This window comes from Homo sapiens, chromosome 4, assembly GCF_000001405.40.
Source record: "Homo sapiens chromosome 4, GRCh38.p14 Primary Assembly".
Classification (NCBI taxonomy): Eukaryota; Metazoa; Chordata; class Mammalia; order Primates; family Hominidae; genus Homo; species Homo sapiens.
Window position 1 is genome coordinate 109,736,012 of NC_000004.12, and position 14,191 is coordinate 109,750,202.

The following is a 14,191-nucleotide window of genomic DNA, read 5'->3' on the forward strand; positions in this document are numbered from 1 at the left end:
ATTCCATGACCTTCACTATGGCGTCCAGGTGGCTGTATCTCAGGCCTGCTCAGACAGTTTATGACCTTCACTCCACTACTTAGATAAAACAGAATGCTTGAAGTTGCTAGTTACAGAGAACAGAAATCTATAAACTCATACTATAAGAGAAAGGAAAATTTGTTTTTCTTCTCCTTATGTTGAGGGAGTGCTGGGAGAGTCTCCAGAGCACATTCCTTTGTGTCCTAGCTTCTTAGATAGTGTTTATCAAGACTCTTTTTCCTGGGTCTGGGCCTTGCCTGCTACTGCCTTTGGGATGAGTCAGCCTAATACAGGAAAGCTTACTTCTTTCTCTTTTTAATTTTATTTTTCTTTATTTCTTTAATTTCCCACCGCACCAAGGCTAGAAGTTTCATCTCTAAAAGGGAACTTAAGTTAAAGAGAAATAAGTACTAGGTTCCAGCCTTTGGCTAGAAAGTCAATGGCATTAATAGCTTTCAAGCTGGGACAAAGTGAAGGGCAAGAGATGGCTGCACCAGATCTATGAGCATGGGCTTGTTCCATAATATGTTGAAGACAATGATCCTCTGCTTGGGTATGGTGGGGGGTCTACCATCAAGAAAATTTGATCAAAAAGATATTTTCAAGGTATCTTTGTATGCACAATGTAAGATTGCTTGGCACACAGGAGGGATGGAAAGAACCCACTTAGTTGAGACTGCAGGGTTTTAAGCCATCAGGACAGAGTCCGTATGTAGTTCTTCTAATTAGGGTTCCTGGCTACTTCCAAACCTCTGGTTGATTTTCAGCTTCGTATTTCCTATCACGTACTGTACACCTTCACTGGGCTTCCTTAGACATCACAACTTCAAAATATCCCTAACTGTCTAAATCTGATTCCATTCCTCTACTTCCTTCCTTTCTGTACTCAGTGGCAACACCAATCACCTCACCATCTAAGAGACTGGGAATTATCCTAGTCTCAAATCCCTCTCCCTAGTACTGTAATCTATTTGTCCCCAAATGCCATCTATTTCACTCAACATATCTAGAGTCAGTGCCATCCTTTTTATCCCTGCTTTAGTTTCTACCTTCATTATTTTTCATTTGATTACTCCAAGAGTGTCTTAACCATCTTCCATACCCTCTCTCACCCACTTCCAATACATCTTCCTTGCTGTCTCCAGCTTGAACTTCCTAGAATCCTTTAATGGTCCAAACTCTTTGGTATGAGGCTCTCCCTGGTATGGCCTTTCCCCCTCTCCAGCTCCTTAGCTGCACCCTGGGCTCCAGTCACTATGAACTGCTCTCCATCCTTGTGTGTGGTTAGCTCCTCACACTGCAGGGCCTTTGCATTTGTATCTGCCTGGAAAGTTCTTCCATAATTCAGACTAAGCTCACCTCTGCAGAAGCCCTCTTTAATATGTCAGGCTGGTTTCTAGATCTCCCTTTAGTTTTCCTTACCATTGTACCTGGCAAGGTGCAGCCGCATAATTTATTTTCCCATTTCTCTTGTAAGACAGAGAGCTCTGAAACCAGGGTTAAATATAAGACGATGGCAGAGCTCCACATCCAATGAGTTGTGTCCCTGGCCACCTTCAGGCGAGCTCACAGAAGCAGCAATGTCCAGTGCCCAGGCTCTGCAGTACAAGCTGTACGTGGAGACTGGGACCCATGCTAGTGGCCATGGTAGTCTCTGATGGAGCAGTCCTGCAGTGTGGTCTGTGAGCGTTATTTCCAGATGTGTAGACTCCAATTCTCTGGCTCTTTTGGAAATTCTGTGAACTGCATAATATCTTTGAATAAATCTATTTTTTCATTAAACCAGTTAGATTGGCTTCTGTAGTCTGGAATTAGGAGCGCTGAGACAGACCTCTAAACTAGGAGAAGCTTGGAGTCAGGTCATCTCACTCCTGCTGTTCCTGGTCTCTGTCACATAGAGTCGCTTCAGAGGGCTGACTTTCACCCTTCAAGGCTTGACCCTGGTCTACTTTTCTGTGAAGCTGCCAGATGCTAGGTCACTGTGCAGACTGGCTTGGCCCTTTTGGGGGCCCCCTTCCTAGATTGGCTGAGGATGCCCTATATGCTGGGTTTCCCACCTTGTAGCACTGGAGTACTTTTCTTTTTTTTTTTTTTTTTTTTAAGACGAGGTCTTGATCTGTCACCCAGGCTGGAGTGCAGTGCTGCAATCACAGCTCACTGCATCCTCAACCTCCTGGGCTCAAATGATCCTCCCACCTCAGCCTTCCAAGTAGCAGGGGCTGCAGATGTGCACCACCACTCCCAGCTTTTTTTGTGTGTGATAGAGATGGGGTCTTGCTATGTTGCCCAGGCTGGTCTCAAACTTCTGACCTCAAATGATCCACCAACTTTGGTCTCCCAAAGTGCTGAGATTACAGGTATGATCCACTGCGCCCAGCCACTTTTCTCTTTTTATCTCATACACAGACATATTCTAAGGTGCTGCGTTGCTCCCGGATTGCTGAGTCAGGACAAGGTGGTTTTCAAATATGTCCATAAATTCTTTGATACACCTCCTCCCTGCCGCCATCAAGAGATGGGTTATTTCCTTTCCTTTGAGCCTGGGCAGGTCTTTGTGATGCTAAGGGACTTCCAAAGCTGGGTTAGAGAAGGCCATGCAGGTTCTGCAGTTTCTCTTGGGAGGCTCATCGGCTGCTATGTAGGAAGTCTGGTGCCCCCGGCCCTGCCATGTTAAGAGCCCATGGGGAGAGTGCAGAGAGACATATCTGAGAAGCCCCAGCTGTCTAAGTCCGCCCAGCCCAGGCACCAAACACATGAGTGAATAAGCCTTCGTGATAACTCTGGTCCAATCCTGTCTGACGGCAACAGCATGAGAGACTGGAAGGGGAACTTCCCAGCAATAAATAACCAAATACTTTCCTGAATTTAATGGATGAAAAATCTGGGCAGCATGGGAGGGAGGAGTGGTGAGTTATTGTTTAATAGATATGAAGTTTCAATTTGGGGAGATGAAAATTTTCTGCAGATGGATGGTGATAATGATTGTACAACAATGGGCATGTATTTAATGTCACTCAACTTTACACTTACAAATAGTTAAAATTGTTACTTTTATGTTATACATATTTTACCACAATTTTTAAAAGAAAATCTGGGCAGTAACTGATTTTGGAATATATGTAAAAATGGGTATTTATATTATTAAATCAGTAGGGATCTATCCAAGACTGGCCCTAAATAAAATAATAAAGGGAATATTTATGTGAAACATATATGTCTGTCTTCAGGATAAAGATAGCTGTGCTTAAAAAAAAAAAAAAGAGTAGCTAATGTTTATTCACTGAGCAGCCTCTATGAGGCAAGTGGTAGGGATGTAGCCAGAAGGAAGACAAATGAGGTCTCTCTTGTCATGTGTCTTATGTTGTAGTTGGAGGAGACAGTGTTGAGAAGAGGTAGACAACCCAATCAAAACAGAATACACTGGGGGAAGAAAAGTACTATGCTGAGATTAAAGTAGGTGGTGTGACAGAGGGAGACTGGGCACCTACAATAGCCTTGGGGTCGGGTGGGGGTGCTATTTTCTGTAGGTTAAGAAAGTGCAACTGTTGAGTTTGGGTTGACCACTTTTCTTTTGAAATGTTACTAGATATTCACATGGCAATGGTATATACTAGTGTTCAGTGGCATATACTAATCTGAGGTTCTAGGAAAGGTCAGAGCTGAAGATCCAGATTTGTGAGTCACCGGACTGTAGGCAGGATTTAAAACGTAGTCTAGATGAGATTACCAGGGAAAGGCAAAGTGAGAGAAGCAACCAGAAGGAAGAGGCTGAGAACAGCAGTGAGGGAGGAGTGTGATGCCCTGAGGGGCTAATGCTGCTGCGATGAGAACAGAAGTGACTGTGAGGTCTGACACCATGGAGGTAGGTGGTTGTATTGAATTATCTGTGGATAGGTTTAGAGAGAGGGTCAAGGAATGCTTGTGAAATGGGGGAGCAAAGGCTAATTTTTCAAGAAATGTTAATACTTAAAGAAGCAGGGGCCTGGTGTGGTGGCTCACGCATGTTATCCCAGCACTTTGGGAGGCCAAGGTGGGAGGATCCCTTGAGCCTAGGAGTTCAAGACCAGCCTGGGCATCAAAGCAAGATGCCTCTCTACAAAAATTTAAAATTAGCTAGGCATGGTAGTGTGCACCTGTAATCCCAGCTACTCGGGAGACTGGGGTGGCATGATTGCTTGAGCCCAGGAGTTCAAGGCTGCAGTGAGCTATGATGGCACTTCTGCAGTCCATCCAGGGCAACAGAGGGAGACTTTGCCTCAAAAAAAGAAAGAGAGAAAGAGAAGAAAGAAAAGAGAAAAAGAAAGAAAGAGAGAGAAAGAGAGAAAGAAAGAAGGAAAGAGAGAAAAGATGAGAAAGAAATAAAGAGGAAGCAGGGAAATGGGACAAGAGCTGTGAAGTCAGTTATTACCCTGTGACAGGTACTATGCCAAACATTTATGTAAGTATGTAGTTTCATTTTCACAGAATTCCAGTTTCCATTTTATAGGTGGAAAAGGAGACACAAAGAAGACAATAAATTGTCCAGGGCATAGTAGGTGATAGAGCTGGGATTTGAACCCAACCTTATGTAAGTCCAACATTATTCAATTAGTTGTAACTTCAGTCAATAAATCACTCCCGCATTGAGATAATTTAATAAAATTTTCTGATAAATAAAACTTGTATGCTTCACCAAAATATTTATTTGAGAATTATACAACAAAATTCCAATATGGCATAAACTCTGTGGAGACCTTTAAAAATATCCAGTGAGATTTGCTTCATTTTTCCCCCCTAGAGAATTATTAATTATACCGTTTTATTTCCATTAAATGGAACTCTTGAGAGAAAAAGAATAGAATGAAGAGAGAGATCACAATTTTATACATTGTACTGAGAAATAAAAGGCCTTCCTACATGGTAGCTAATCCAGTCAAAATAATTGGCCACTTTGGTGTAAACACCTGGGAACTCTGGTTTTCCACAGTTTTCCCCCCAACTCACAACACCCCAGACATAAGTCACATTGTTGGCATCCATACAGACTAAGGGGCCTCCAGAGTCCCCTTTACAGGCATCGATGGAACCATCATATGTACCTAAGAAAGAAATGTGAAAGAGAAAATCACACATTTCCTTCCATTTTTCAAGGCTGCCATGCCTCCTCCATGGCATTTAACAACTTTGGCTTTTTTACAGTTTCCTGACAGCAATAGCATGGGCTCTCCTTAGAGTCCCTGGCTGGGCTTGCAGAGTTGCAGAGATGCAGCTTGGAAAATTCTTTACGAGTCTTCTATTTATTCCCCCAATTCAGCATGTTCTTCCTGTGTTCTCTACTTTATACGACTGAGTACTGAGATGAGATTGCAACCTGAAAGTTGCATCAAATGCTGAGTAGGAAAATGATGGGACTGCCTAGTGCTTACTGAGTGCTAAATATTTATTAGTCATTCATTGTCTTCATTCTTACCACAACCCTATGAGGCAAATATCATTATTGCCCCTATTTTATACATAAGACAACTATGACACGGAGTTTAACTTGTCTAAGGTCACACAGCTAACAAACGACAGGGCCTGGACTTGAACCCAGGCAACCACACCTCAGAGCTTGTCCTCTTGACCATGATACTCCCTTTTGGGAGATTTTGTGCTATTCACCTATTTTGTCCACTGTAATCCTGAACTCCATTTCAAGATGGGAGGACACTTTCTTCTTACTCATGATTTTCTGAGATTTTTAAATCACTGTAACCAGTAAGTTATAGGATGTCAATAACTGCCTTTTCAGTAATACACCATTTAGAAATGGTTTCAATAAAGCACCTAAATGCACTACACTGGCTGGTACTTTGCCTGCCTCTGTATCACCTCCAAAAGTAGGAGCTGCTATTGTTGTATTGGGCAGTAGAATTAGCTTAACCATGTTATCAAAGGAGTCCGTGGCGTAAGAAATGCGCTGTGATTTCCATGGAGGGAAAAATTTACTTCCAAATGGAAGTAAATCTCATCTCATTTGAGATGAGATAACTTGAATTTGTATTTAAAAGTAATTTAGTTTTGATCCTGGGTGTACCACCTCTTGTCTGTAAGACTTTGGACAAATTATGTAACTGCTCTGCATCTCAGATGCCTTATCTATGATCTTCAATTTTACAAATGAAGAAACCTGCTCAAGGTCACATGACTAGCAATTAGTAAAAGCTGGGATATAAATCTAGGTCTGGTTCCAGAGGCCGTGCTCTTAGTCACCTTGCTGTGCTGCTATAGAATCGCTTAAGGAGGATTTTTCCTCATAGTATTAGAGGAAGAAACCTGAGCTACAGGGAAGGGACTGAAAGAGTTTGAGAGTGCTACAGCCAGAAGGCCAAATGGAGGGAATTAGGGCCCAAAGCATGGGGGCTGATGTGGTGGGAGGAGATGTTTGATAGGGGAAATACATACATCTTGACATCTTGGATAAACCACTTGGCACTTACCTGCACATTCCATTTCTTTTTCATAGAAACGATTTCCGTAAAACTTAGAGCAGTTGCTTATTAGTTTAACTTCACCCCACTGAAGTGAAAAGACTCTTTCGTTATCTAAACAAAGTGAGAAAGCAAACATTTAGAAGTCACAAATGAGAAATCTAAATACATACTCTCATAACTTAAACCATTGGGATTATGAAAGGGTGTATAGTTTTCAATATATATAAATTTTTGAGAACTCTTCCTTAGCGTGTTTAATCATATCATATGTCTATTTCTAAAATTGGATGGATAGTCAAGGGGGACTATTGAACATATGGTCTGAAGTCACATTCATTTAATAAAGAGCTGGTACCTTAAGTTGAATGAGATAAATCTTTCCCTTTTGGTTGCAGAACTCAGTCAGGCAATTGGATAGGAATCAGTGATAAGGTCTTTTCACATAAATACCTCCTATCTTCTCACAGTCCCTTATTTCCTTGAGAATGTTTGTTAAAGCAAAAACAATGTTTTAATATAAGAACTTCAAATAAAGGAAATACATACGAAGTTATCAATGTTTGTGTGTTTTTGTGTGTCTGAGAAGAAAAATCCATCTCCTAAGTGATTTGAAGTTATTTAAAAGGGGATTTAAGATTTTCTTCCTCAAGTGATCTGCCCCACTCAGCCTCCCAAAGTGCTGGGATTACAGGCATGAGCCATCGTGCCCAGCCAGGAAGGAGTTTATTTTTTTTTTCCTTTAAGCTCTACTTCAAGTTAGTCTCAAGACACCTGCCTTCCTTAGAACAAGAGCTTTTTTAAAAATAGTAATTTCTTATTTCCTCTAATTTGGGAAAAGCCTTTAAAACTGTGAGCAATTCTTAATGGCCCAGGAGATAGTTTGTGCCTTGGCACTCTTGTAAGCTTCTTGAGGCAGCTCTCCGACGGTAGCTGAGGCAGCGAAAGGGCAGAATTTTAACTACTAGACTTTAAGGTGGTCAGTAAACACCTTGAGAGCTGGACTTCATCTTTCAGCCATGGAACTTATTCATCCCCTTGTTTGTTGACTGGGTCCATATTTTCCATCAGTGAAATCCTAGCACTTTAGCATTGCTATCTTGCAGACATAGTAAATCCTCAATAAATGTGTTAAACCATTATTAATAAATGTGTTAAACCTTTGATCATTGATTAAGGACATATCTAACTATCAGTTTATATGAAGTACATGGAATAAGGGAACATGTTAAATGCTAGATCAGGCTGGGCACAGTGGCTCATCCCAGGACTTTGGGAGGCCAGGGTGGGAGGATCACTTGAGCTCAGGAGTTTGAGACCATCCTGGGCAACATGGCAAAATCCCATCTCTACAAAAAATACAAAAATTAGCCAGGCATGGTGGTCCCAGCTGCTTTGGTGGTTGAGGTGGGAGGATCGCTTGAGCCCCAGAGCTCAAGGTTGCAGTGAGCTAGGTTTGTGCCACTGCAGTTTAGCCTGGACAACAGAGCAAGACCCTGTCTCAAAAAAAAAAATCCAGATAAAGAATGTGATTAGCCAAATTCAAGGTATGGGAATTCCAAAATAAGAATTACCCATTCTCTTTAATGATTAAATTTTAAATAAAAGGAAGGGGTAACTATTCTAGATTAAAACATTTAAGAAAAATAACCACCAAATGCAATGTGTGGACTTTGTTTGGATCTTGATTCAAATAACCTGATTATAAAAATATTTTTAAAAATAAATGAGGAATATTAAACATGGGCTTTATTTTATTGGGTATGAAAATGGTGTTGTGTCCTTATCTGGTGAAGATATATACTGGAGTATTCATGGGTGAAATTATATGACATCTGGGATATGGTTTAATATACTCCAGGAAAAATATGTGGGGGAATATGTTGAATAGCTCCTGAATGTGCCTCAGACCATTCTCCACCCTTCAATGCCGTGCATCCTGCCCTAAGAGCCTGACCTGTGGCCTCTGGTTCCCAGGTGGTTTTAGACAAAGAGGACCCTAGCAGGAGGGAGGGAAGGAAAGAGGTAGGCTAGTGAGATTGGGACTGGCTATACCCTTCAGCTCAAGATCCTTGCTTCTCTCAAGGCAGCCTGCTCTACCTGAGACTTTTTCTCCATCTAGTAACTTCTCCTACTCTTCCGCTTTCAGATCCAGGAGTTAAGACAGCTCTGGTACCTCTAGTCCTGGGTACCTGCGTAGCCCCTGTGATTCCCCAACCCCCTACGTATATCTTTGTAATGAACCCTTTTATAAATAAATCTTCCTAATTGCTCCATTGAGACCCCAATTAATATGGGGAGATACAACAAGAATGACAGAATGCTGATAACTGTGAAAATTGGATGATGGATAAGTAAGGGTTTATTATACTTTAATCTCTATTTTTGTGTATACTTGTAAATGCACATAATAAAAGATTTAAAAAAACAGAACAAGTATAAGGACACAATACTCTCTTGATGAATTAATTCCTAATACAATTTGGTGTTTTAGAAGTTTTAGGTATTCAGACATACCACAAATCCAGATTAATTTCTACATATATTTTACACCTTCCAATGTGGCAATTATAATGAATGTGTTGGAATATGAGTCTAAAAGACCAATGCAATGAAGGTACTTAGAGTTTCTGCTATCAAAGAGAATTTAAGATGTTGAAAGGAAGCTAAATTTTAAGGTTAAATCTTCCTTTTTTTCTGTTATGCTTGTGGTTGTTTTGAGACAGAGTCTCGCTCTGTCACTCAGGCTAGACTGCAGTAGCACAATCATGGCTCACTGCAACCTCAACCTCCCGGGCTCAAGTGATCCTCCCACTTCAGCCCCCCTCAACCTCCAGGAGCTGGGACTACAGGTACACACCATCACATCCAGCTAATTTCTAAATTTTTGGTAGAGACAGTGTCTCAAACTCCTGGGCTCAAGTGATCACCTGCCTCGGCCTCCCAAAGTGCTAGGATTAGAGACATGAGCTACTATGCCCAGCCCAAGGTTAAATCTTCAAGATGAAGGGAAAGGTGTTGACTAGTTTAATTCTAATCTAATCTCTAATTCAGCAGATCTTTCTAAGAATTTGTCTCTGAGTGTCCACATCTTTTATTCGTATGAAGTGTTCACCACAAGTCTTCTTAGAAGTTCAAAAAATGAATTCCTTATGTTCTTTTTTTCTTTGTAGAGAGGGTAGGTGCTGGGGAATAGGGAAAGAGGGAGGAGGGGAGTGAGAAGGAGGGTTGTGGGCATCAGCGATTCAACATACACCAAGGCTATCCCTTTGTAAACCTTTTTATCTTTTACCCACATCTCCCCAACAAATCCAAACAGTCCATGCTGTATGTCTCCCTGTCTCTATATTTTTTTCTTGGTGAATGGCTACCCTTCAAAGTTTGCCACAGGATCATAGAGAGAATATATATGACCTTTGAAAGCCTAGATAAGGACTGGTTCCATAATTTGCAGAGTCCAGTGAAAAATGGAAATGTGGAATGGGGCCATTTCAAAAATTATGAAGAATTTCATGCTGGTGACAACACAGCAATAAATCAAGCCTCAGGGCCTTCTGAGCATGGGGTGCTGGGCAGCTGCACATGCTGCAAACCCATGAAGCCAGCCATGGCTGGATGTTTACTTTTCTGGATATGATGTTATGCTTCTCTCTGAGTGCTAGGAAATTAGCTCCTATACATTTCTATTCTCTTTCATTTCCAACTCATGGCTTCTGATTAACAAACTGTAAAACATATACCTTTTTCTCGTCCCCAGCCAGAAACGATGCATGTATCATTAGGTTGGAATAGGTAAGGAGACCAGGGGACACAGGCAGGGATGGAACGAGGCAGCTCACAATCTTTTTTGTTTCCGTCTTTTTTCATTTCAATCAAAGCGATGTCATTTTGGTAAGTGCCTGCATTGTAGTTTTCATGGAAAATAATTCTATCCACGTATTCAATTACTATACGTTTAAGGTCGGGGTGTATCCAGTCTACTACTGTTGTCCATATTTGGTAACGATGAGTTTTACTGGCTCTATAACAGAAAAAAAAAGGAAATAAAATATATTGAGAAAAAATATAAATAGGAATTCTGACACTTCACTTTTATATTTTTCCCTTTTAAAAACCTTTTTCATTTCCCCAGAATTTTGTAAATGCTTGCTGTCATGAAGCAATGAGATTAAATTTACTTAGTGCAGAATTAGGTCAATGGTAAATGATAAAGCTAGGAATAATCCATGTAACTGCTCAATATGAGGAACATAAAGAACACATTAACAACTAGAGATGCCCAAAAGTGGAATGAGTTTGCTGCCTCTGGAGTGAGTGTGCCGTCGCTGCAGGTGTTTAAGCAGAGACCAGACAGCATCTTGCCATAAATGTAGTTAAGGAACTAGGGAGTTGGACCACACACACTCATTACTCTGCCAACCCTAGAGGTTCCCAGGGCAAAGGCCACAGCAGTCATTATCCTGACCCTTAAGACTAACTTTATCCTAACATTGCATTGTATTTATTTGTTCACATGCCTTTCCTCACACTAGACTGTGCTGCTTGAAGCCAGAGATGGGGTCTGATTCATCTGTGCAGCCCTGGTGCCTACTATTATATCTGGATCATAGTAGCTGTTTTAAAATCCTGTTGAAATGGTGAATGAGCTAAATATTGCCTATTCTTATGCTTCACTACATTTTCATATCAAGTTTCTTTCTTCCCTTCTTTCTTTTTAAAACAGAGACAGGGTCTCACTCTTTTGCCTAAGCTGGAGTACAGTGGTGTGAACATAGCTCACTGCAGCCTTGACTCCTGAGCTCAGGAGACACTCCCACCTCAGCCTCCCTAGTAACTAGAACTACAGGCATGTGCCACCACATTAAGCTAATTTAAAAAAATTTTTTTGTAGAAATGGGGTCTTGCTATGTTCCCCAGGCTGGTCTCAAACCTACCAAAGTGCTGGGATTATAGGCGTGAGCCACCGCACCTGGCCTCTTATCAATTTTCAACTCATAGTTTCAAGCAAATCAGGCATCTACCATCATCTTCTCATGGAACAGTATAGAGTCACTTCGGCAAAGTATTATAGCTTAGTTTTTTTGGTTTGATTAGAAGTAGGGTGCTAAATTATGACCTCATAGTCTAACATTTCCAAACAATAAATTATTTTACAGAATGGATTTTTCTTAAGCAATAAAACTTATTTTTAAACAATTTAATGGAAATCTTTTCAAAAAATGTATTATTTATATCAGTGTTCCTCAACCTTTTTGGCACCAGGGACAGGTTTTGTGGAAGACAATTTTTCCATGGAACTGTGGAAAACTCGGGGGAGGAGGGGATGATTTCCGGATGAAACGCTTTCACTTCAGATCACCAGGCATTAGATTCTCATAAGGATTGCACAGCCTAGATCCTTCACATGTGCAATTCACAATAGGGTTTGCACTCCTATGAGAATCTAATGCTGCTGCTGATCTGACAGGAGGTGGAGCTCAGGTGGTAATGCTCGCCCACCACTCACCTCAGTTCCTAACAGGCCACAGATCAGTACTTGTCTGCAGCTCAGGGGTAGAGTATCCCTGATCTATATAACTTCTGCTTTCTCAAACAGCATTAACTGAACAGAATTTATCTTTACATAAGGGTGATTCAGGTAACCACCTTAAAAGGTGGTGTCCTAGGAAATAATGAGATGTTCAGGAAGCTTTTGTTTATAGTGTTCCAAGAATACTGTCCTTCATATTAATTTTGATTGTTTTTCAGGATCACAGGTTGTAAATATTATTTATTTAGTCAATTTATTCAACAAATACTTAGTGTGAACCTATATGTACCAGGCACTGTGTTAGGCACTGAGATGCAGAAATGAGCAAAATCAGAAACAGTTCCTGCTTTCATGGAGTTCACGATCTAGGGAAAGATGCAGCAGTAAATGGATCATCACACTGATGAAAATAATATGTTCTACCATGAAAAGTGAGAGGAATGAACAGTATGTGGGCTTTTAAGAACTTATCAAGAGGGCTTTGACTTAAGGGAGTCAGGGAAGGTTCCCTAAGGAAGTGAAGATTGAGCTGAGATCTGAACAAAGGGTACGACTAAGTAGGGAAAAGGGTAAGGAAGATCATTTCTGGCAGGGGAAACAATATATGAAGGTCCCTTTGCAGGAGGGGGCAAATGCACTTGAGTAGCAGAAAGCAATCCAGAGTAGAGGTGGTGGAACAGGGAGCAGGAGGTGGCTCTGTGGGGCAAGATGAGATTGGCAAAGGTTAGCAGAGGTCAGATTACATGGGGCCTCATGGGCCATGTTAAAATTTTTGTTTCAATTCTTATCCTAAGAGGAATGCAAAGTCATTGCATTTTAGGTGACAAGTAATCAAAACTAGGTATGGCAACATGACTCTTGAGCCACACAGTAAAGAAAATATAGGTAGGCCACAGTGGAGAACAAAATGTAAGTAGTACCTACCCACTCTCCCACTTTGCAAATAAGCCAGGTGAAGTAATTTGGCAGCTATGGGTTTGATCTGCCTTTGCCAGTGAGATCAGCAATTTTGGTCTGTGGAGGACACAGTAGATTCTACGGGATTAGCCTCTGGAATTCCAGTCGCGAATACCAGAGGATACTTTGCAATTAATATAGTGGAGTTTGTCAGTACCTTTTTCAGATATGCTTTATCATCTGCCACAATCTCTATTACTCACTTTCATTGTTTCGGGAAATCTAAAATTTACTGAAGACATCTTTTACCTGAGACAATGTGCAGCAGTCAGAATCCAACAGCCACCAATATAAATTCCCCCACAGGTGATTCCACTGGCATCCTTAATTGCCACCTGCCATGGGAGGTCTCCCTGTAAAAGACATTTGTGTGGTCACTGCCATTCTAACAGATAGCGATACAAACAGCCCTAAGATATTTCCATGGCAAGACTCCCAGTCTCTTATAATTACATCATCCTCCTGCCCCTTTCCCCCCAAATTTAGGCTGTTTCTGGGCAGTTGCATTGTGACTTTTCATGCGACTTTACCAGTTGTGCTCGCTTTCCTCCCACAATTCGTTTCCTTCGAATGTGCATTCTGTTTTTAACTCCACAAGATAGTTTAGGTAATAATGATTTTATCCGTCTTCTTTCTTCAAGAAAGGAAGAGATTACATCATTATTATCTTGAACCCATTAGCGTTTTTAACACACTTCTTGATTATCTATGCCACAAAAACAGGAGAGTCACAGCCAGTACAAGACAGGCTGGAATCATTAGTAAATTATTTTGAATGCTAAACCATACTATTCATCTTATTTAAAAATTCTGGCTTGATATTAAAATTGGCTTGATTCTCTGAAGTTCTGCCTAAAGATAGACTAGTGGCAGAAAAGGGCTGGCCAAGAGGTTAAACATTTACCAGCCTCTAGCTGATAAAGGATGCCACATGTCCAGGCACTGTGGCAGTGGCAGCTCAGAAGGGAATCACATTCTGAAATCATCAGGGTAAACTAACAACATGGCAAACTGTGTCTTTTCTTTTCTTTCTTTCTTTTTTTTTTGAGATGGAGTCTCAGTCTTGTGCCCAGGCTGGAGTGCAATGGCACGATCTCAGCTCACTGCAACCTCCGCCTCCCGGGTTCAAGGGATTCTCCTGCCTCAGCCTCCCAAGTAGCTGGGATTACAGGCGCCCACCCCCACGCCCAGCTAATTTTTGTTTTTTTAGTAGAGATGGGGTTTCACCATGTTG

At 41.2% G+C, this 14,191-nt stretch overlaps 1 protein-coding gene across 20 annotated transcripts in view; it reads right to left on the reverse strand.

Moving 5' to 3' along the window:
* The window catches only part of CFI (complement factor I), a 71,018-nt gene that overhangs the window by 5,030 nt on the left and 51,797 nt on the right, over nt 1–14,191 (reverse strand). For 8 of the 20 annotated variants that reach the window (NM_001375282.1, NM_001375280.1, NM_001375281.1 and 5 more), the window contains 4 exons: nt 13,488–13,591; nt 13,207–13,310; nt 10,211–10,491; nt 6,480–6,584 (listed from right to left, as the gene is read on the reverse strand). In NM_001375282.1, the coding sequence (NP_001362211.1) occupies nt 6,480–6,584; nt 10,211–10,491; nt 13,207–13,310; nt 13,488–13,591 (594 nt within the window). Of the gene's footprint in view, nt 1–4,683; nt 5,372–6,479; nt 6,585–10,210; nt 10,492–13,206; nt 13,311–13,487; nt 13,592–14,191 lie in introns of those variants that run through there. The other 12 variants (NM_001375284.1, NM_001375283.1, NM_001331035.2 and 9 more) reach the window with 5 other exon arrangements.